The sequence below is a fragment of the Homo sapiens genome, chromosome 8 (assembly GCF_000001405.40).
Source record: "Homo sapiens chromosome 8, GRCh38.p14 Primary Assembly".
Classification (NCBI taxonomy): domain Eukaryota; kingdom Metazoa; phylum Chordata; class Mammalia; order Primates; family Hominidae; genus Homo; species Homo sapiens.
Genome location: NC_000008.11, coordinates 14,099,718 through 14,122,022, shown reverse-complemented (window position 1 = coordinate 14,122,022; position 22,305 = coordinate 14,099,718). Strand labels below are relative to the sequence as shown.

The 22,305-nt window shown below is 33.6% G+C and overlaps 1 protein-coding gene and 1 long non-coding RNA gene across 5 annotated transcripts in view, besides 1 other annotated feature; one reads left to right on the top strand and one right to left on the bottom strand.

Moving 5' to 3' along the window:
- SGCZ (sarcoglycan zeta) overlaps positions 1–22,305 on the top strand; it is a 1,153,587-nt gene that overhangs the window by 1,116,409 nt on the left and 14,873 nt on the right. For all 4 annotated transcript variants that reach the window (NM_001322881.2, NM_001322879.2, NM_001322880.2 and 1 more), the window contains 2 exons: positions 13,788–13,860; positions 19,524–19,647. In NM_001322881.2, coding sequence (NP_001309810.1) covers positions 13,788–13,860; positions 19,524–19,647 — 197 coding nt within the window. The remainder of the gene's footprint in view (positions 1–13,787; positions 13,861–19,523; positions 19,648–22,305) is intronic.
- On the bottom strand, positions 9,762–13,347 carry LOC124902058 (uncharacterized). The gene is made up of 2 exons (XR_007061171.1): positions 13,255–13,347; positions 9,762–9,976 (listed from the first exon to the last, which is right to left on the bottom strand). It is a non-coding gene; the product is annotated as an uncharacterized LOC124902058 (long non-coding RNA).
- Positions 11,530–11,699: an enhancer, noted in NCBI's record as "experimental_101701 CRE fragment used in MPRA reporter constructs". NCBI's record gives its function as "activates a minimal promoter by MPRAs in K562 erythroleukemia cells, with activity observed for the introgressed 8:13967918 variant allele {active_cell/tissue: K562}" and the evidence as "EXISTENCE:reporter gene assay evidence [ECO:0000049][PMID:34662402]".

Here is a 22,305-nt window from a genome sequence, read left to right as displayed (position 1 = left end):
ACAGGCGTGAGCTACAGCACCCGGCCTCCTTAAAGTCTTCTAACTGACCTCAGACATCATAATGCTAAGCAACTGTGAGGTATACATTGTAGGGCTATTTATGTATCAATGTATGCACATGTATATGACATAATAAAAAATTTTTAAAAAACCTACATAGTCTTTTGGACAAGAGACAGATTGCTTTTTATTTTACAGAACAGAAAATTAAGATTTCAAAAAAATTAAATGAGTTATTTAACGTCATCTTGCTAGTGAGACACCAAACTTATCTGGAACTCAAATTTTTGGTTATATTATATGTCCTCTTTAATGTTACTCTATTAGAGAAACTATATACTGTCACACTGTGTAGTGAACTGACAAAATAAATTTTGCTACACAATAACTTAACTGAATGGAAAAGTCTATCTGATGTTAGGCCTGATTTCTATTATTTCATGTATGATTTTAGTCAGTTTAACAACAATAATAACGGCAATACCAAAAAAACCCTGTATAATTTGAAAGAAGCATGGAAGTGTGGTAAGATATCACATATTTTTTAAAAACAATTAATTAAACGGGTACTTTAAAAAAGAGCATTATTTTCTATTTCAGTGCAAATATTGTTTTTATAAGTTTCACAAAATTAGTCACTTTTTAAACACCCTTATAACGGCATCAATTTGCTATGAGCCTAAAGTGGAGAATAGTAGTGAATAACATTTTATCTCAGCTATGACAGCGTGACATGTTGATTTTTCTAATATTTAATATTATATATTCAATACTGAATATAATATAGTTGAATATATTTAATGTAATTTAATTGAATGTTGAATATATGTTAATACTAAATTTTATGTTCAATATTCAACATTGACTTTGCCATTAAGTTGAGTTTCCGTGAGAAGGATATCTATTGCTCTGTTTCTGGGGACTCTCTTAGCCGTTAGGCTATTTCTCTATTTCACAGTCACATTGACTTAGTAAAATTAGAATTTTATAATAATACTTGTTATCTGGACAGGAAAATCTGCCTACTTAAATTTTTTGTGGAGGAGGTTCAGATTGCCTTATTATTCCTGATATTCTTCTATAGAGATTTAGAATCAGCTTGTCCAGTTCCATGAAACTATCATTGATGATCTGATTAAGATTGCATTAAATTTATTCAAAGTTTTTGGTAAAATTATTAACTTTAGGATAGGATAATCTTACATATGGTTATGTTATACTTCTCATTATAATTAACATCTCTTTAATGCCTTTTGATTAAATTTAATAATTCATTCCATAGCAGTAGCAGTCTCACAGAACATGCATTACATTTTTCTCAAGTCAAATTTGTTTTCTAATTGTATTTAATTTTCTGTAGATTCTTTTGGATTTTTTTTCTATAGAAAACCATATTTTATGTGAACCATGTTAGTTTTATTTTTTCCTCAAAACAATATACATATTATAGATCTATATTTTTCCTTAGTAAGACAAGAACTATATATAGTATAGAGTTGAATTAAAGTGGTGATTCTAGCCAAATATAAAACCACATTGTACTTTTGTGTAATGTTCTTAAGTGAAATATCCCTGTTCCTAAATGAAATGTTTCAGCATGTCACCAATAAGTTTGATGTTGATAGAGGTTATGTTGTACCTGACAACTTCAGGTGGAGAAATTTACTTCTGTTCTCATTTCCTAAACAGTGACAATTATTGTGGTTAATCATGATGAACTTTTTGAATGAATTTTCTCTATCTTCTAATATCTTTCTATATTGTTCTCCATCAGTCAATTACTATGGTGAATTTTATTAATTGTCTGCCATTAAACCAAACTTATATTCCAGTGATAGATGTTAAAGGAATGGTCCTGATAATTCTTTATTGCTGGTTTCCATATGATAATACCTTTTTTAGAAATTTGGTATCTATCCCTAGGAATAAATGTGAGCCTTTAAATTTTCTTTCTTGTGTAATTCTGATACCAAACCTGGCAGAGACACACACAGAAAAAGAAAATTTCAGGCCAGTATCCCTGATGAGCATCGATGCAAAAATCCTCAAAAAAATACTACCAAACTGAATCTAGCAGCACATCAAAAAGTTTATCCACCACAATCAAGTGGGCTTCATCCCTGGGATGCAAGGCTGGTTCAACATACGGAAATCAATAAATGTAATCCATCATATAAACAGAACCAATCACAAAAACCACACGATTATCTAAATAGATTCAGAAAAGGCCTTTGATAAAATTCAACACCACTTCATGCTAAAAACTCTCAACAAACTAGATATTGATGGAATGTATCTCAAAATAATAAGAGCTATTTATGACAAACCCACAGCTAATATCATACTGAATGGCCAAAAGCTGAAAGCAGCATTCCCTTCAAAAACTGGCATAAGACAAAGTTAACCTCTCTCACCACTCCTATTCAACATAGTATTGGAAGTTCTGGCCTGGATAATCAGAACACAAGAAAGAAAGAATGTGTATTTAAATAGAAAGAAAGTGAAATTGTCTCTGTTTGCAGATGTCATGATTGTATATTTAGAAAACCCCACTGTCTGAGCCCAAAATCTCCTTAAGCTCATAAGCAAAATCAGGAAACTCTCAGGATACAAAATCTATGTGCAAAAATCACAAGCATTCCTAACACCAATAATAGACAAACAGAGAGCCAAATCATGAGTCAACTCCCATTCACAATTGCTATAAAGATAATAAAATACCTAGGAATACAACTTACAGGGGATGTGAAGGACTTCTTCGAGGAGAATTACACACCACTGCTCAAGGAAATAAGAGGGGCCACAAACAAATGGAAAAACATACCATGCTCATGGATAAGAAGAATCAGTATCATAAAAATGTCCATAGTGCCCAAAGTAATTTATAGATTCAATGCTATCCCCATCAAGGTACCAATGACTTTCTTCACAGAATTAGAAAAAACAACTGTAAATTTCATATGGAACCAAAAAAGAGCCCACGTAGCCAAGACAATCCTAAGTAAAAAGAACAAAGCTGGAGGGATCATGCTACCAGACTTCAAACTATAATACAAGGCTACAGTAATCAAAACAGCATGGTACTGGTGCCAAAACAGATATGTAGACCAATGCAACGGAACAGAAACTTCGGAAATAACACCACACATCCACAACCATCTGATCTTTGACAAATCTGACAAAAACAAGCAATTGGAAAAGGATTCCCTATTTAATAAATGCTGTTGGGAAAACTGGCTAGCCATATGCAGAAAACTGACACTGGACCCTTTCCTAGCACCTTATACAAAAATTAACTCAAGATGGATTACAGACCTAAATGTAACACCTAAAACCATAAAAACCCTGGAAGAAAACCTAGGCAATACCACTCAGGACATAGGTGTGGGCAAAGACCTCATGACTAAAACACCAAAAGCAATGGCAACAAAAGCCAAAATAGACAAATGGGATCTAATTAAACTAAAGAGCTTCTGCATAGCAAAAGAAACTATCATCAGAGTGAACAGGCAACCTACAGAATGGGAGAAAGTTTTTGCAATCTCTTTATCTGACAAAGGGCTAATATCCAGAATCTACAAAGAACTTAAATTTACAAGAAAAAAACAACCCCATCAAAAAGTGGGTGAAGGATATGAACAGACACTTCTCAAAAGAAGACATTTATGTGGCCAACAATTATGAAAAACACCTCACCATCACTGGTCATTAGAGAAATGCAAATCAAAACCACCTCAATCCAGTTAGAATGGCGATCATTAAAAAGTCAGGAAACAACAGATGCTGGAGAGAATGTGGAGAAATAGGAACACTTTTACACTGTTGGTAGGAGTGCAAATTAGTTCAACCATTGTGGAAGACAATGTGGCGATTCCTCAAGGATCTAGAACTAGAAATACCATTTGACCTAGAAATCCCATTACTGGTTATATACCTAGAGGATTATAAATCATTCTACTATAAAGACACATGCACAGCTATGTTTATTGCAGCATTGTTCACAATAGCAAAGACTTGGAACCAACCCAAATGTCAATCAATGATAGACTGCATAAAGAAAATGTGGCACATATAAACCATGGAATACTAAGCAACCATAAAAAGGATGAGTTCATGTCCTTTGCAGGGACATGGATGAAGCTAGATAACATCATTCTCAGCAAACGAACACAAGAAGAGAAAATCAAAAACTGCATGTTCTCACTCATAAGTGGGAATTGAACAATGAGAACACATGGACACAGGGAGAGGAACATCACACACTGGGGCCTATTAGGGGATGTGGGACTAAGGGAGGGATAACATTAGGAGAAATACCTAATGTAGATGATGGGTTGATGGGTGCAGCAAACCACTATGGCACACGTATACCTATGTAACAAACCTGCACATTCTGCACAGGTACTCCAGAACTTAAAGTATGATAATAAAAACTTCATATATTAGGGCATCAGCTTTTTTTTCAATTCTCTGGAAAGGTATTTACAAGATTGGAATTTTATTTTGTAAATGTGTCAGTACACATACACACACACACACACGGGTCAAGTACTCCCCAGTGAGATGCTATACTCTGCATTCACACACACACACACACACACACACACACACACAGATGTGTGCATCTCAGTGTCACAATTTAAGCTTTCTCAAAAAAAAAAAAAAACACTACCTATTGAAAATATTGAATATCTGTTTACCCTGTTCATGGTGAGATATTTGCTAAGTGGATCAAGGGATTCCCAAAATGTAAAAGCACATATCTGGATTATAAAAGTTGTGTATTTTACCTCTGACTTATCAGAAGAGGCCCATTTATATCAGCAGGTCTAATGCTCATCTCTAATGCATTATTTTTGTAGGTCAGAGGACAAACACCTTTAAAGATACATCTTTAAAGATACATTTTGTAGGTCATAGGACGACCATCTTTAAAGATACATGCCATCTTTAAAGATATTATGGCAACCTTTAAAACACAGGTTACCATAATAGCCCAATAATTTTGAAGATGCTTGGACTTCCCTGTAAACTATGGATAATTTTAATCGTTATAAATTGCAAAAAGCAGTAATGGCTTACTCTGCTTGAAATTCCTCTAAGAAAAATATACAGTGTTCACAGTAATCAACGCTGAGCATGTGATGAGTGTTCTTGCTGTAGAAACTTCATTATTAAGGAAACCAGACATTGGTTCTGGAGAAACGTGCCATTTCTTTAGTTAAAAGTAAAAAGAATGCTACCAGTCCTCTTATGGTTAAAAAACAAATGAAAGTAAATGGAGCTTTCTAAAATTTACCTATCGGTATACATGAATTACATGGCAAGTGATAAAATAAAAATCAAAGGAGCAACCTTGAGCAACAAAAGGTAAATAATCTCACAGAAACAAAAAAGATGAAGAGAATTTATCTGGGCATTAACACACATGTTCTGATTCTCATTTGGACTCTATGCATGTCGTACTATCTTGTTATTGGATGATAGGCTTATGAGGCTTTCAGTTTTTACGTGAATTTTTGTAAAACCTGGTTATTAGTAAATGAATGACAATTACATATTAAGGCAAGCTGTGTGTACGAAGATTCTGAATCTTTTCTCATCGGCAGAGAGACCCAAAAAAATTGTAGGTAAAACTTTGATGTTTTAAAGTCTCTTAGATATCTTGAGGTAAGAAGGAAATTCTAAATAAATTGTGGTTCATGAGACACTATGTTAAAAAATAATTTCATATGTCAGTTTATGTAGATTAACTATGCAGCTCAGGCTCATAAAGCTATTGATACAATTAGCATCTTTTGAACATACAATATTTTGTTTTTCAGAGTAAAAAATATTTGTAGAAGTTTCAGATAAATCTATAAACCAATGCAATATTTGAAGCCCCCAAAGACAATTATGTACCATCTGTTTTAGACAATTTCTTTACTGATTTTTATTTTCCATAGAAAGCACTTTGATATCAATGTACCAGAAGTCCTAAGGAATAAAGAATTAAGCAATGAAAGTGCTGCTGAGATGAATCTCTAGCGCTGTGCATTCCATTTGGTAATGGTCGGTATGACCTGCCAGTGGAAAACACAGTTTCTCCCTTTATGAGTACTAGCAGTAGGAAGTCATTTTGTTTCTCTTCAGAAAGTAATCTAAATAGTGGTGAAGAGCTTGAAGAATAAAATAAGGAAAAAAGATAGGATTAAGGAATTTACTAATTTCCACCCCCACCCCCCAAAGAAACCTCAGTTTATGGTGTAACTGATGGGAGATTTCTAAATAAATGAATTTCCACAAAGCTTGAATTTCACTGGATTAATGATAGAGGTTATCAAGGAAAGGGTTATACAAAAAAAAATTAAAAAAGATTTACGTTCATAAGAATAAGTGTGAGTTCAAAGAGCCAAGACTAGTATCAGCTATCATATCTGTATTTTAGGTAAAATGTCCAAATCTTAAGACAAAATATACTGCTGGATTAAGTACGTTGAAAGCTTATCTAGACTTTATGTAAAGGTGGTAAAAAGATAATTTACCTAGGAATCTTAATCTTCTCAGTTTCATCATTAATCATTAATAAAATTTTTAAAAATGTAATAAATGACAGTATGGGTAGCTCATGTGCTATCAAATAGGTTAATGCATATTTTTGCATTTCAACTCGTTAAAATTATAATGTTTATAATGAAGCTGTAAATTGAATCAAATATTGCTGCCTTTTAAAAAGTGCATACCCATAGAGATTATGTTTGCTAAAGGGGCATTCTTGATTATGCTTTCTCACTCAGGATTCTCTAGAAGCCTCAGGTGTGTATGTTACTTCTCATTTGCTTACTGGTTTTATTTAAGTAAAGGGCAAAACAACAACCTCAGTAATCACATACTTTGGAATTAACTATTTCCTGAGAATATATATCTCAAGAGTTATTGGATGTAAGAGTAACGAAGAAAGCTCTGCTCGTCCACTGTAATTTTTTCATTTTTTTTGGAGGTAGGAATTAGAAAATGGATTATTTATGTACAATTTTTAAAAATGTCGTTTCCATCAAACCACATATTCATTCAATTTGGAAATAATTTATTTTCTTTTTAATTCTGTTTTCTTTACATGTGATTTTAAATTTCAAGTATTACTCTTATTGTTGACTAAAAGGAATAGAAATAATAAATGAAGAGCTTTTCCTCCTAAAACTCAGAGAAACAACTGCTAGTAAAACATAACTTCTTGAAGGTTACAAAATGAGAGCCATATGGAAGTCTGGATCGTTTCCAGTGCTGATATATTTTAGTCTAATTTCATTAGTAACAAACAACTTATTTCTGAAATGTACTTAATTTTGAAGAAAATAGCTTTATTTTAATGCATTTTCCTTTTGATCACCAGCAGTCTTTTTCCTTATCTCTTTTTGTCTTCTGACACTGTTTAAGTGGATGAGAGGATATTATTTGGCATCCAAGAGTAAAGGCTTTCAAATATTTTTTTAAATGATGAAAAAAATGCCAAATGAAAAGTCCAAACAGATTTTGAAACAATTTCTTTTTAGAAATCCTGGCAGCTTATTTTTCAGTCCTAAATGAACAATATGGTGTTCTTTTTTGCTTTCCTCCCAAGACAATTAATAATGTTATTTCCCTGTTTCACTAGAAAAAAATCACTTTGGCTATGCTCATAATAACAGTTTCAATACATTCAGATAATCATCGCAGGATGTTGATTTGTGTTAAAGTGTTAAACAAGGAGATACACTAGGAAACAGAAACTTAGCATGTTTTACCTATCAATTATAAAATAGAAAGCATTTTATGCATGCTTTTGTTAATTATTTTATTCATGTTCTTTAATTTACTGATCCTTAACTATGTAGCAGAATCCATGATCAGTACTAAGTATACAACTGTTATCGAGACAGGCTTTGACTTCAAGAAAGTCGTAAGTTACTGGATAAGAGCTTAAAGCAAATTGCAATGCAATGTTAGAAATATATACCAGTAATTTTTACAAGGACCTGCGGCAACTGGGCAGAAGGAGAAGCAAGCGGCAAGAACCAAGAAAATGTTTCACAGATACTATAATTTAGATTCAGATCTTGAAAAATGAGAAGAGATTACCATCAAATGAGGAGAAAGAGGTTGCATATGCTGAGAACAAGAAGGGGTTCTCATGAGTTGTCTTGTCACTGAAATGTAAAATCCACACAACTGCTAAGCAGTAAATCCTAAGAAATCTGGGCTTGACTTCTACAGACACTGGGTTCTTAAAATATTTTAAGTGAGAGTTACAAAGTCAATTTTGTGTTTTAGAACATCATTTGGCACCAGTATGGAGGAATCATGAGCAGAAAATGTATGTGATATTGAAGCTGTGGAAACAAGTACGCTAATAAGGATGTTGAACAAGAAAGGACATCTCAGTATACTTCCCGGGTTCACCTGGTTGTGTGGAATATGGTTTTACCATTAATCAAACTAGAATTAAAAAACAAAAGGAGAAAACTCAAAAAAGGCTGGAAATCTGGATCCTTATCAATATTTATTAATTACCTCCCATCCATCATGTGGTGCGCAAGAATACAATGGCATATAAGGAATGTATCTTCAATTTTTTTGGCCTGAAACGTAAGCAACTGTTATAATTAAAAATATAAAATGTAAGAATAGATATGGTAGTTTAAAGACAAGTACTACAGGCAGTAAACCCTAAATATGTTCAGAGAATGAAGAAATCTGCATATGCCTTAAGAGGTGGGAAAATTAGTAAAGATATTTTATACGTAAGTGGAAGAAAAGATGTTTGAACACACAAATGGGCTCAGATTACAGGAGTATTGAATGCTGGGCAAAAGCAGTGTCCAGGAAAATAATTATAGCTTTTTGCACAGGTGAGATATCAATGGTTTTGATAAAATCACTCCAGCAATGTATAGGTTGTATTTTGTGGTGGTAAGTGGAGGCAAAAACACCACTTAGATTATTAAAATAACACAAATAGGAGATGTAGTATATGTTGAAATAGGTTGACATTTCTTCTTTCGAGAGGTAATAAATTTTTCAGTATTCAAAGCAATCCTTTTTAATGGAATACAATAAATGCCAATTAATATTTTTTTCCAGTATTGTTACTCCATCCTTTCCCCAAAATAATTTATTTTCTGTTGATCTGGAGTTGCAAACTCATTTCCACTAGTATTTAAGGAGGAATGAGAAGAGTTATTAGTATACAAGTTTTGACGTGTTTGAAAAAATAATCGTATAATTCTGTTAGAAATTGCAAGTACCTTAGAGATCATGTTATTCATGATCTGGTTTTTAATTTTACAAATAAAAACCAAAGGGCTTTAAATACTTGGCCAAGATTTAAAAACAAATTATAAGTAAACCTGGGAATAAGACAAGTCTATTCCCAGCTTAATCTAGATTTTAGTACCAATTTAGATTTGGGGGAAACAGAAGCAAATAAAGAAAAAGAAAGTAAGGTAGGAAGACTTCCAAAAAGTTTGAATATATTTACTAACACAGATTCAAATTTGAAGATCATAAATAAATAGGAATCTTCTGTTCCTTGAGATCTAGAAAAATATCCCTGGACCTGAAAAGCTAAGATACCTGTCAAGTGCCATAGGGCTGGGAGGCTAGCTGTTTATGTCCTGTTAACCTTTGCCCCATGGACTCTGGATTCCTCTTGTAGTTGCTCTTTCACATCATGTTGATATCTACATAAAATCCATTCCCTTCTTTGCACCCCCCCCCCACAAAAAAAAAAACTCAAAAAATTCATGATCATAGTTGATTTTATTGGAAAAATAAAGGCCAGCAAAAGTTCTCATTTGGCACATATCAGGTCAAATAACTTAAAAATATAATTTCCTGCCTGACTTTCTTTTTCTCAATGTGAGGTGTTCTTGCCTTTCTTGGTTGTTTGCTTTCTCTCTGGTGCTTCTTGGGTTTCCTTTTCTTGTGCTACCTCTTCTTCTGGGACCAGTGACTTCTGTAAAAAATACATGGATGTCAATCGGTGAATAATGAGTAGCGTAGGATATAACATTTATAGTATAGATAGCATTTAGAATATAGATAGCCACATCAGAAGAGGTGCTTACATTTAATTTTAATAATTTGTTTTTGAGCGTGTGGCATTTTATGTTAGGCATTTGTAAAGGGTAGTATCCTAGCTTATGTCTTAAACGGTCTTTAAATACAAAGTAGGACCATAATCCATATCTGCCTTTTCTCCTTTCCGGCAAAGCAGAATATGCCATCCTTATTCTTTCCTGCAGAAGCCAGAAATTATCATATGAATGGTTTCTACTACTTTTGGACCCTGAATTTTCTTAGTTTTATTCTGACAATTGCAGTAGCCAACAGTATAGGTTTTCCCTATGTCTTGTAACATTGTAGTGAGTTTAAATTATCTGAAACATCCTTTGTAGGATTTTATAATCAAGCAGTGTTGAACATTGTACCCTTTTGAACAGCCCCTTAAAATAGCAATGAAAAACAAACATTTATTCAATAAGTTTACATATACATATTAATATGTGTCTCTGTTGTGTTCCTTTTGTCCTTTTTATGTCTATCCTTCTTTTTTGTTTCTATGGTTTCTAGAGCCTGTGATATGAGAATTCATGACAGTCTGTCTTTTCTCTAAGTGAGCATAAGTAAGTCAGATCTGTCCTTATGTACCAAACAAATGTTGACAAATTGTTAGGGTTTCCAGATCAAGTATATGATGTCTTACTAATTTTGAATTTACTTGATTACTCAAGATATGCTTTCAGTATAAGTATATCCCCTGTAAATATCCTATACTTATACTAAAAAATGATTTGATGTTTATCTGAAATTCAAATGAGCTCAGTGTCATATATTATTAATTGCTAAATCTCACAACCCTACTAGTAATCTACATGGTAAAAATTTTCAATTCTTGAGAGAGACAGTTTTTTTTTAAAGTTTGTTGTTGTTGTTGTTGTTATTATTTTTAATATAGTCTCCGTTTGTTGCCCAGGCTAGAATGCAGTGGTGCAATCTCAGCTCACTGCAACCTTTGCCTCCCAGGTTCAAACTATTCTCCTGCCTCAGCCTCCCAAGCAGCTGGGACTACTGTGCACCACCATGCCCAGCTAATTTTTGTATTTTTAGTAGAGAGGAGAGGATTTTTGCCCTGTTGGACAGGCTGATCTGGAACTCCTGCCCTCAAGTGATCTGCCTGCTTCGTCCTCCTAAAGTGCTGGGATTCCAGGCACGAGCCACTGTGCATTTTCTGATTTTTAATTTTTTTATGCTGTTAGACTTCATACCTGGTTCAGGTGGCTTTTATCATCCCTTACTGATTTCCTTTAAGATTATCTGTGTTGCTTATTAATTTTGTACCTTTGGCTCATTCAGGACAAAAACAGGGAGAGTGAATTTCTCATTTTCTAGAGGCCTGCATTTTGTTAATCACTCGTATTATTTAGTTTAAAATTTCGCCCTTTACGTGGTATGATTACATATTTATTTCTTCAAGAATCCTTTAAAAATGATTATTTTTATATTGGCACTCAGAATTGAGACCTCTATCAGTTTTTAATTCTCACTGAAAATTTAAACTTTGATGACATTCTGTTATTTTTATTTTCACTGATAGAGTTTGTGCTTAGTAAGTATGCCATTATGTATTTGAAAGTAAATATTACCGATGTTTAATTATATTTCTGTCACCTTATCTGGGAAATTTTCATAATCATGAAATAGTTATCCATGTGCAAAGTTTAAAAATTAATTTTCACTATCTTTTCTGGGATGCATATCTTATTACAAAATGCCAGAGTCTCTCTTTGAGATATACAAATGTATATCTTGTAATATTCTTTCAAATGCTATCCCCACTATAATCACAAAATTAGTGTTACCTCAAACTACTGTTTTACTTTTAAAGACCCACCTTGAGGAATGTTCCACTAGTAGAAATAAAATAAATATCTTCCAAAATATCAAAAGAATAAACCGCTTAAATAATTTCTCAAAATTCATGAAAAAAAGTTTTAAAAACAAGGACCATATGTCCTACAGAGTCTCAGGAGCGACAGAGAGAGAGAGAAGAGAGAACACTATTAAGCCCATTAAGAGTTCAACAAATGCCAATAGCTTTTAGCTTATAAACAGAAATCTGTAATCTTAGGGATTTACTGCAGCAGAACCTGGTAAGTAAGTTTGCCCTCAGCAGCATAATATAGATGAAATCATATAGTCTTTGAAAAAAAAATCTCTTCCTGTTCTATTCATGATCAAGGTCTGTATTGCTATATTATGCAAAGGAGTCATCTGATGCTTCTAATACATTTCCATATATAGCAATTTAGTTTTAAGGAATTGGAATTTTAGCTTTAATTTCCTAGTGGCAATTTCATCATTGCCTCTTGAATTAATATATTTTACATGATTTTTCTCATTAGACAAAAACAGATTTGTTTTGTATGCTTCAAATACATATTTTTAAATTACATTGTATAGTTTATCTAGTGTTGAAGCCACTGATGGAACAGGTATGAGGTTCTTAAAGCAAGAACTTTGAAGAAGATTAGACCAGAAAACAAAATCATCAAGTTTATTTTGAGGGTGATAAAGACATTTATGCAAAATTACAGAAAAGATTTTCTCAATGTCATCTTATTTGGAACATTTTTTTCCCACTTGATTTTGGTAATTGAAGTATCCTTCCATTTTGCTCAGTTAAATTATGAAAAAGCTATGAGAATCTGGAAAAAAATGGATTCAGTAAATGAAAGTTGAGATAGAGTATCCTTCAACCTCCTGAGAAAAGTGTTAGAGTATATGACCTCTTCGGAAAGCTACAATTCCATATGAAACCAACTATAACACCAGAATTTAAAGCAGTTCATGATTTTAGATTAAGCCCTAACTCCAGAGAGGTCAAAGTAACATGACATGTTCTCTAGCTTTTCGTGGTTACTGTAATCAAAGGTGGGAGCTCTATGTGTGAGAACTGCTAAACATCTATGAGGGTTTGTCTTTAAAAAACCAATAATAGGCTACACTGGAACTCACCTCCACATTTTCATTCATGACCTGCTATTATTTATAGAAACACAGAATTGAGTATTGTGACTTAGCCCTCCCTCAATTTCACTTAACTGGAAAATAAGGCAGGGGACAGAGATGAGCTTTTGTTCTTTAAAGAGAGAGTGGGAATACTCACTGACTTTTGACTTTTATAAATAATTTAATTTTAAAATTGGTTAATATAATGACATTTAGATTTACCTTGATTGACTCTTCCCTGCCTGGTGATATTCTTCCAATTCTTCTCATTCATATCCTGTGATACGGTTTGGCTCTGTGTCCTCTCTCAAATCTCATCTAGAATTGTACTCCTATAATGCCCACGTGTTGTGGGAGGGACCTGGTGGGAGATAATTTGAACCATGGAGGTGGTTTCCCCCATAATGTTCTCACGGTCGTGAATAAGTCTCACGAGATCTGATGGTATTATCAGGGGTTTCTGCTTTTGCGTCTTCCTCATTTTTCTCTTGCCACCGCGATGTATGAAGTGCCTGTTGCCTCCCGCCATGATTCTGAGGGCTCCCCAGCCATGTGGAACTGTAAGTGCAATTAAACCTCTTTTTCTTCTCAGTCTCGGATATGTCTTTATCAGCAGTGTGAAAACGGACTAATACATCATATGTACCTGTTTTAAGTTTTCTCTGTTTTGGAAGAATATTTGATGCATAAACATAGAGATGAAAGCCACTGTGTGGACTTGCTTATACTGACTGCTATATTCATGCTACCCCCAGGCACTGAAGGAGCCGTATTTGGGCACTCTGTGGAGACGCCGCACATCAGAGCAGAGCCATCCCAAGATCTCAGGTAAGGGCTTCCTCTTATACCTGTGGCATAAAATCCATCATTGTTGATAATCCTTAATATATGAAGAACTAAAATAGACAACTAGACAAATGTTTCTCCCAATATACTTAAAATAAATACAAAAATGAATATATTAGATAGGAAGAATGTGGAAAAAAAAAGAAAAGGCAAAGGCAGTTATACAGTAAGTGAGAAGAACTAATAAAAACAGGGATCCTGAGGCCGGGCACGGTGGCTCACACCTGTAACCCCAGCACTTTGGGAGGCCAAGGTAGGAGGATCACTTGAGATCAGAAGTTCAAGACCTGGCAACATAGTGAGACCCTGTCTCTACGAAAAATAGAAAATAAAAACAAATTAGCCGAGCATGGTGGTGCACATGTGTAGTCCAAGTTAGTCAGGAGGCTGAGACCAGAGGATTGCTTGAGCCCAGGAGGTCGTGGCTGCAGTGAGATATGATCATGCCGCTGTGCTCCAGCCTGGGCAACACAGCAAGACCCCATCTGTAAAAACAAAACAAAACACAATACAAAAACAAAAAAAGGAATGCTGGAAAATCCGACATATATAATGAAATGTGTGGTGTATATAGGAATAAAGACAGGGCAAATAGGGCGCTGAGAAAGCTATAAATGACCACGGAGTATTATATAGAGGGTAATATGGAAGCAAATCAGACAAAGGCAGAACTTAACTGGACTATGATGGGGTTCCTCAGTCTAATATTTCCAATGGAATAAGCTATGTCCTGACAGTGTGATGGTTCTAGGAGGCATTTATATGTAAAAGCTCTCACTACCCAGGAAAATTCCAACATTATAGGGAATTCTTCCCAGGATAATTATTACCACTGTTGATTACATTCAAAATAATAAAATCTAGATCCCTAATACAAAACTGCTCAGTGGATGTTTTTTTTTTTTATTTATTTTTTTATTTTTATTTTTGAGATGGAGTCTCGTTCTGTCACCCAGGCTGGAGTGCAGCGGTGCTATCTCGACTCACCTCAAGCTCCGCCTCGCAGGTTCACGCCATTCTCCTGCCTCAGCCTCTCGAGTAGCTAGGACTACAGGCGCCCGCCATTGTGCCCGGTTAATTTTTTGTATTTTTAGTAGAGACGGGGTTTCACCATGTTGCTCCGGATAGTCTCTATCTCCTGACCTTCTGATCCGCCCTCCTCGGCCTCCCAAAGTGCTGGGATTACAGGCGTGAGCCACCGCGCCTAGCCTGTTCTTAATTCAATACGTAAGATTTGGTGATTACTTATGGTTTAATAATAATTAATTTATGATAGCTAAATTACATTCTGAAATGCACTTACTATTGTATAGGAAAAGGAAAGATGCACATAGTGCTGATAAAAACTAGTCACATACTAAAAGTCACTTTTAAAGTTGGATCATAGTATCAACCTGAGAGACACAGTTGGTGTCTTGGGAAGCAAAATAAAAACATTAAGTTACAAAACCTTTTTATTTCATAAGGATTGCTGTTTAGCCCTTCACATTGGATGAGTGTATATGTACTCAGATGGAAACAAAAAATAAATAAAGTTGAAAATCTTTAAGGCAACGAAACCATACTTTACAACAGTAAATTTTTTAGTCAGAGTCCTATGATAAAATTTCCTAAACAACTCAGTTTCTCACTACTTGAGTAACACAGATTCAAACAAGCTAGGGAACAATATTTATTAGGAAAAAAAGTGGCCTTCTTCAAGGACTAAGACTTATTTTAGAAGAGCAACATGATAATTACCTACTCTATATAGAAACCCTAGGGATTCAGCAGTGCTGAGGAGTGTGTGTAAACAGCATCTCATAGGATGCTACGGTCTTCATTTATGGCTCTTTTTTCAGGCAGGAATTCAACAACTTTTGTGAAAATATTTATTGTATCTTTCTTCTCCTAACAAACTGTAAATTCCATTAGAACAGGATACACATCTGCCTTGTTTATCCTTAATGCTGTAGCAGCCAGCACTGTTATCTTACCACATCCTAGTTGCAATAAGTATTTGTTAATGTGAATTACTGAAACTTAGCAAAGCTGAAAAATGAGGACATTAACTAAATGAATGGGATATAAGGAAAGTGGCTGCAGTTATTACAAAGGAACATGTGAAGAGCATTGATTCCAATTTTTTTCATCTGTGTTTTAATATAGACACAGCTGTTTACCAATTTATTCAATAAACTTAAAATACATTTATAGAAGTATTTTTAAATTTACTTAAATTTATACTTAAAGAACTTTTTTTTATTTCTAACGTTTTGGTAACTATATGCTCATTTTATAATTTTTACTGTGGAAAGTCTTGTTAAAAGAGGAATAAGAACCAACTGGTATTTTAATTATCTTGCTGACATATTTCACAATTCATAAGTGAAAATGCGAATGATATTACATCTAGTGTATGGTGTTTCTGGTTTTCATTTTCTAATTATTCATCATTATGTAAACATTGCACTAAGCTGGATTTATCAGCTGGTTCTAAAAGCAGACTGGCAACCCCCAAGATAAGTGTTACTAAATTTCCAAACTGAAACAGAAGAAAAGTAGAGTAATTATGTAGGTATTCAATTATTTATTTGTATAATGAAAATTAAAAGCAGGGTGTCTGAGAAAAACTTTACAAGCCTTGCTGACAATTTTCCTTTCAGAGAGGTAAGTACTGTTTGTTGGTTGATGCCTACTTCTAATCAACACGGTTTCATTGGTTGGCCAAGTCAATAAAATGTTAATTTAGGGAGTAAGTAGCCACATTTTCTTTGGTTTTGTTATTGTGAAGAACAAAAAGACTTTAGAAAAGAAATACATTTCAAAAGTTTATTAATAGAGTATTAATATTTTGGTGAAGAAATGTAGTGGATTTCTATAACTTATTTATTCAGCAGCTGTTTGATGAGTGAGTGTCTAGTATTTCTCAAGTTCTGTGCTAGTTTCCATGTGCATTTTAAAACTGTGGATTTTCTTTGAATTTTTCTTAGATAAGATGATACTGTTTTGTACTAGGAGTCTATATTTTAAAAGGCTAAAAAAAACATGTTAAATAGTTAACAAAGACATAACAGTAAATTTGCCCAGAACAGCCTAATGTTTGTTTTTATTTCTTACATTAATATATAGTTAAGTTACTACAGTTTGAAGAGTTTCTGTACCTATGGTAAAAAGTGATGAAACTAATTATACAGTGCTCATTTCCTAAAGATTTTTTTTGGATCTGAGATCCATTAACTACTGAATAAGAAAATAAATGTTAATTCATTTTACAGAATCCAAGTGCAGATTAATCATATAATTGGCATCTTTTCATAATTCTCATTGTTGCAAAAATACAGCTTAACACAGAAATATTAAGGTTTGCAGGCTCCAAGTTAATCTCTAGAAACACATAGCTCTAATACACATCATTAATAAATACACATCATTAATATATTCAAGGAAAAAAACTCTATTAAGCAGTCAGGATTTTGTCTGAGACATTTCCTCAATAAAGGGGTAAATTGCTTGGCTGGTGTTCTTCTACCTATGAGAAGAACATAATGATAAAGTAGGGTATTTGCTTTCTTTCCTTTCCTTTTCCCTCTCTTTCTTTCTGTTTCTCCTGATGCTTAAGTTCTGCTTAATATTTAATAATTGCCTCTTGCAACTTAGGTTGTTTTAAAGTCTGAATTCTTCTTTTTTCTGAATGTTGAGAATTCTAGAGATTTAGGCCACAGATTTTTTTTTTAATTTGATAGTTGCATAACACCTTAAAAACTGTATCTTGTTGCAACTTTGATACATAAACACCATAAAAAAACAGAATGCTTTGAAAAACCAGGTGGTAGAGGGACTATCCTTCTCTCTGCCATAATCCCAGGTACCCACTGTGAAAGCCAGTCTGAAACTTACTGCTATATTTGCTGTAGTGCTTTCCAAATGAATACAATTATAAAAATGAATACAATTATAATTCACTAATTTCACTGACTAATTACATAGAAATCCACAAGTAGTACCAATAAACTTGGGTTTCCTTTTTCAACAGGCTTTTTAGACGATATTTTATAATAACATGAATAGTTTAATTGAAAACCTCTACTATAATGTAAGTAAGTCTGTGAAACCCTCCTCAGTGGACAGGAGACTTTCCATACAAGAGAGAAGTGGGACAACATTTAATTGTTGATACTGTGTTGCTAAGAGTCTGCGTAGTTCTAGAAGGGTTGTGTATCAGGGAAAATCAGTGATAAAAAATACATTTTAACATTCAAATTTTGACATTTAGATACTGTGCGTAAAATGCTAATAGTAAATTTTATTAAGCAGTAGGATTGTGAGTGATTGTCTTCAAGTTTTCAAATATTCTATGGAAAATATGGGGAGTTTTAATAAAAAAAATACAGACGTTTCTTAAAAATAGACACATTCAAAACCTCACCCCTCCAGGGATTATATGAAGCTAGATCTCCAAATGGCCCATAGGGATTAAAATTTTTAAGTTGCTTTGGTGAGTGAAAAAAAAAGAAAATGGAAGTGTTGAAACCACTTCTCAATGCTGGCTCTACTCCTTCCATATCACTTTTAAGCTTTTAGGTTTCACTTTCTTGCTGAGAGGGAGCTGAACTCCAGAGACCTAACCATTTGAGGTGGTTCTTTCTGCAAAACAACTCTGAATTCATTGCCTCAGAAAACAAAAACAAAACCAGTTGTGCTGGATAACAGTGAATGTGAGCCCGAGGGGACCCTCCTCTTAAAGTCCTGTGGTAGGGCGATCACAGGCAGGTGCATCCCCAAGGCAGAAAGCTGATCTAAAAAGACCAGTGCATGGATCCTACCTCTTCTCATCCTAGCACTTTTTACCACTGTATTCTAGTTCCTGTGTTGTGTGTCATTTTTGCTTTTTCTCTAGTGTTATATTTGAAGATAGTTTGAAAACTGCCTCCCAACTCTGACTGTCTAAAACACTTGTTTCTTGCCCTCCTAATTTATGTAGCCAACCTTCAATCGCATTTGTACTTGTATATTACCCTCCTATTGATTTTTCTTTCACAGACTGATGTCACTCATTCTGTGGACATTTCACGGGGCCAACAGAATTAGTTGATGTAGAAAATGTCTTATTTCATTATTTTAATCAGTTTCTAGAGGTGTCAAGTTCATAATATTTTGCACATGCCTGAAAGTGTGCAATATTAACAATTTTCATTAAAGCATTCATGTTTACAAGACAGGGACTCTTTATTGAGGAATACATATATCTACATCCTAAACTGTAAATTTTTTATTAAACCTCCATCATTAATACTAGTAAGTTATATACTGGTAAGTTATTAAAAATTTTAGCAAGTATACTTATCACACCCTACTTTTCATGAGCATTCTGAGGGGAAACAACAAAAGAAACCATAAGCAAATTGTCATGAAAGTGAGAGTAAATACTCGATGTGAATAAATGTAGATTTTTATAAAGAGCCAAAAATAGATACGTCAATCAAAAATTGTTCTGAAACTCATTCTGGCTTTGCCTAAAATGGTAGGACTTTTCCTTTATGCCTGTCTGTCTGGTTGTTGTTTTGACCAATGTTGTCTTCTAGTTTATCAAAAATTTTCTTTTTTCTATTAATGATTTTTTTGTGTTTTTTTTTCCTATTAATGATTTTTTGTTTTTCCCTTAGGCTTGAATCACCCACCAGATCCTTGATCATGGAAGCTCCCCGTGGGGTCCAGGTGAGTGCTGCTGCAGGAGACTTCAAGGCCACCTGCAGGAAGGAGCTCCATCTGCAATCTACAGAAGGGGAGGTGAGTCCCAGAAAGTTGGACCCTCGCCCTATACTGCCCACTTTGAAAACACAAGTATTTAGATGTCCTATTTATAATTGACTTGTGAAGGAATATCTTTCAGTAGAAAATAAATGGAGTTGTAACTTAGGAAAGTAATATTAGGTTACCATATCTCATATTCAAGAAGTATATATTTGGGAGGCCAAGGCAGGCAGATCACGAGGTCAGGAGATCAAGAACATCCTGGCTAACACGGTGAAACCCCATCTCTACTAAAAAAAAAAAAAATTATATATATATATATATATATATATATAAAGTTAGCCAAGCATAGTGGCAGGCACCTGTAGTCCCAGCTACTTGGGAGGCTGAGGCAGGAGAATGTCGTCAACCCATTCACTCCCATTCACGAACCCATGGGAGGCGGAGCTTGCTTCATACCACTGCACTCCAGCCTGGGGCGACAGAGCGAGACTCCGTCTCAAAACAAACAAACAAACAAACAAAAGTACATATTTGTGTAATTTAAACTTTTCCACAAAGCACTTCTTTATGCTTCCCCTGGAACCATATGCATATAATTTGAGAAGAATAACGACAGTCCTTTTTTTTTTTTTAATTCTTGTTATATCTTGATATTCAGAAAGTTCTTCCAGAAAGCACTTTGGTTGTTTGTTTCCATAGAAAGAGTGCCTTTATTTATCTAAAAGGAAAACAAAAGTTTTACTGTTTAGGAATGATATTTCCTGGAATAGGATGTATACATTAGTATTTTTCTTCTATATTACCTTTATTCCCCAAGAATTTCCTTTAAATCTTGTTGCTACTCCTGCAGACATCATTTATTTTTTCTCCTGCTGTCTGCTTTAAATAATACTTTGTCATTGATGTTCTATTTTTCCACTATAAAGTGATAAGTATACATGATTATTGTTATCTGCAGAATCACATTTTTACCAATTCTGGAAATTCCCATTATTTCTTCAGATAACCTCAGATAACCTCTCCCCAATTTTCCATGGTCTTTTCCCAATTTTCTATGGTCTTTTTCTGAAACTCTGAAGACATAACTTTGCATTTTCACACCTTCCACATCTCTTACCCTCTCCTTCCCAGTTTCTTTCTCTTACTGTGCCTCATGCCACTGACTTATTCAGGTCTATATTTTCAGGGTTCTCCCCACTATCTAATCTCATATTTTATCCATACATTGAGCTTTTAATTTTAGTGATTATGTTTTTAATGTCTAGCAGTCTCATCTTTTTTTTTCAAACCTGGACATCTTGGCAGATGCTTTCATGCCAGTTCATTTTTAATTCTACCTTAGTTATTTTAAATGCTCATACATGATTTATATGCTAGTCTATATATTTTTACTACAATTTTGAAAGTTCTTGACAGTGTAAATCTGTTGTATTGCTTTTCCTACCAATACATTCCCTAGGTGTTTTATTTTCTTCTTGTGTTATTTATCGTTTTTAAATTATGAGCCCACAAAGGTCAAATTGAGAAGAAAAAGAATGAAAGGATAAGTTGAGAGGCATGTTCTGGAGTATTTCAGTCCTCTTCAGATATAATGATGAGGTCATAATTTAATACAGGCAAAAGGGGAATATTCCTTTTTTATCTCAGTTATTAATTCAAGATGAATTGTAATTATACATTTACTTCCTTTTTAAAAACAGATTTACTGGTAGGACCATATTAGAGTGTTAGCAGATATTATACCATAAGTGATCTAGCAATCTAATGTATAATATTTTGAAAATATATTAATATATTAATATAAATTAATAAAATATAATATATTATTTGAAAATATATTAATATATAATATATTAATCTAATGTATAATATTTTGAAAATATATTAATATAATATATTAATATCAGGATTTCTTTCCACTACAGTTGTAGACTACAATACTTTGTCTAACACAGTAGGACGGAAGTCTTTCTTAAACATCTTGCATTCTTTTTAAAGAGTTGCTTTGATAATGGTAACTTTCATTCAAATTGCTCATAATAAATATTGATTATTATTAATATCTATTTTGCCCCATATAAGAATCATTTACATATGTTCTTTTATTCATTTATTCATGGTATCAGCAGAGTCCTTTGATTCAATTACATATTATAACTTCATTGTCAAATGAGTATTGTGCTGTAAATAAATCATAGCCACAGGTTTTCATCTGTGGTTTTTTTTTATAGTAACAAAATAAAAGTACAGAAAGGCACAGCACTTAAAACAGCATGTATTTTTCCTATGAAGAAATATAAAATCATATAAATATATATATTTTGCTACATTGACTGTACCACAGATTTATCATTTACTAAACAATATAGAGGGATATAAAGTCCTTATCCTTAGATAGTTTTTAAACTACTTAGTATCAGTCATGGTATTGAGGTATCTAAAATGATGGATGAAATGATGGATGAAATGTAGAAGAATGAAATTGTATGTGAAATTCTGCACTGCTGAAAATTCATAGTCATTTCAGGCATAGTATTGTAAAGTATTTCAGACTCAGTCTGGAAACCAACATGAATTGTAATTGTATGGAGAATACTGTAAGTGGTATAATGGCACATGTAATACAATAACAGCATATATACCACAAGATCAAAGAAAAATAATTAATAAAGCATTTTTTTTTGAGACAGA